Consider the following 1,789-nt stretch of genomic DNA (forward strand, 5'->3'; position numbering starts at 1 on the left):
ACACCCCATGATGTAACCTACCACACTCTTTAAAGAGACCCCCAGAAGTCTTTGAACTCCTGGTAAGACCATCTGCCTCCCCACAACAAACTACTCACTAGGGCAATCCCTAAAGGGAGTCCATAGTGAAAATTGCAAACTCACCTTCCCGTACAAGACCACTAGCACTGATCCCATGATGCCTTCCATCCCTGTTACCTCAGTCACCATCACACTCCTAGGCCTCTCTGGCCATCCCTGGCCCCCTGGGCACATCTCTAGACCACCCCACACATTCACTAATTTGACCCAATTTCATACCCATTTACCTTGTCCTCTGATGCACACTCACAAATTCTAAAGCTGTAATCCCTTCTCTCTGCATCCCCTTCCCCTCATTACCCTAATGCCTCTGAGAGCACTGCCTCCTTGGCAGCCCTTTCAAGAGCTGGTTGAATGGTGAAACCCCATCTCTACTAAAAATCCAAAAATTAGCTGGGCATGGTGGCGCATGCCTGTAGTCCCAGCTACTCAGGAGGCTGAGGCTGGAGAATCACTTGAACCTGGGAGTGGAGGTTGCAGTGACATGAGATCACGCCACTGCACTTCAGCCTGGGCGACAGAGAGAGACTCTGTCTCAAAAAAAAAAAAAAAAAAAGAGCTCGTTGATATTCTGTATCTGCACAAGGGTCACCAGGAGGCTAGGAGGTGAGATACGTGTCCTCAGTGATTGTCACCGTCTCTTCTACCTACTGTCCCTCCATTCTGAAGCTACAGCTGTGAATGAAAGCACAGAAAGTCCTTGACTTCATGGTGGGGCATGGTGACAAATAACAAATGCCCATGTAACATGTTGGCTGGTGATAAATAGCACAGACAATAAAGCAGGGTGGGCAGGGGATGGACAGCAGTGAGAACTGTAAGAGAAAGCTAGTTGATAGGGAGTAAGCTGTGCAGATATCAGAGGGGAAGGATGTGTAAATACAAGACTTCAAGAGCAACATTTAGGTAAGTGATTTGCCCAGCACCCAGGCCTCTGTCCTCCATTTCATACCCTTCTCACCTCGTAGGATCTCATTCCACCCCCAAATGTCAAGGATCTTTTCACATGGTTAAATCATAGACCTTGTCATTAGCCATAGCTCGGCTATCTTCAAATTCTTCATTTAAACATCTCATTTGCTTTGATAACCACTTCCTGTTTTTCCAGCTCATTTACTTGACTACCATTCTATCCCCACAAACACACACCTCCAACCTCACCAGGGCCTCCGTCAACCCTAACAGTGTTTTACTATCTGTCACTCCCTCCTTTACTCGGTGTAGATAACATTGTCCATCCCTGCAATCAATCCCTGGTGTATACCCTGTGATACTGTTTGGATATTTGTCCCATCCAAATCTCCTGTTGAAATATAGTCCCAAGTGTTGGAGGTGGGACCTGGTGGGAGGTTTTTGGGTGATGGGGGCAGATCCCTCATAGCTTGGTGCTGTCCTCAGATAGTGAGTGAATTCTCTCAAGATTTGGTTGTTTAAAAGTGGGTGACACCCCCACCCCATCCATCTTGCTTCCGCTCTTGCCATGTGACTTGCCTGCTCCTGTTCCACCTTCCACCGTGGGTAAAAGCTCCCTGGGGCCTTCCCAGAAGCCCAGTGGATGCCAGCACCATGCTTGTACAGCCTGCAGAACCATGAGTCAATTAAACCTCTTTTCTTTATAAATTCCCCAGCCTCGGGTATTTCTTTAGAGCAATGCAATAACGGCAGTGTACTACACCCTGCTTTCCTTCTCCCACCCTTCACCTCCATC

The sequence above is a fragment of the Homo sapiens genome, chromosome 22 (assembly GCF_000001405.40).
Source record: "Homo sapiens chromosome 22, GRCh38.p14 Primary Assembly".
In the NCBI taxonomy this organism is placed as follows: Eukaryota; Metazoa; Chordata; class Mammalia; order Primates; family Hominidae; genus Homo; species Homo sapiens.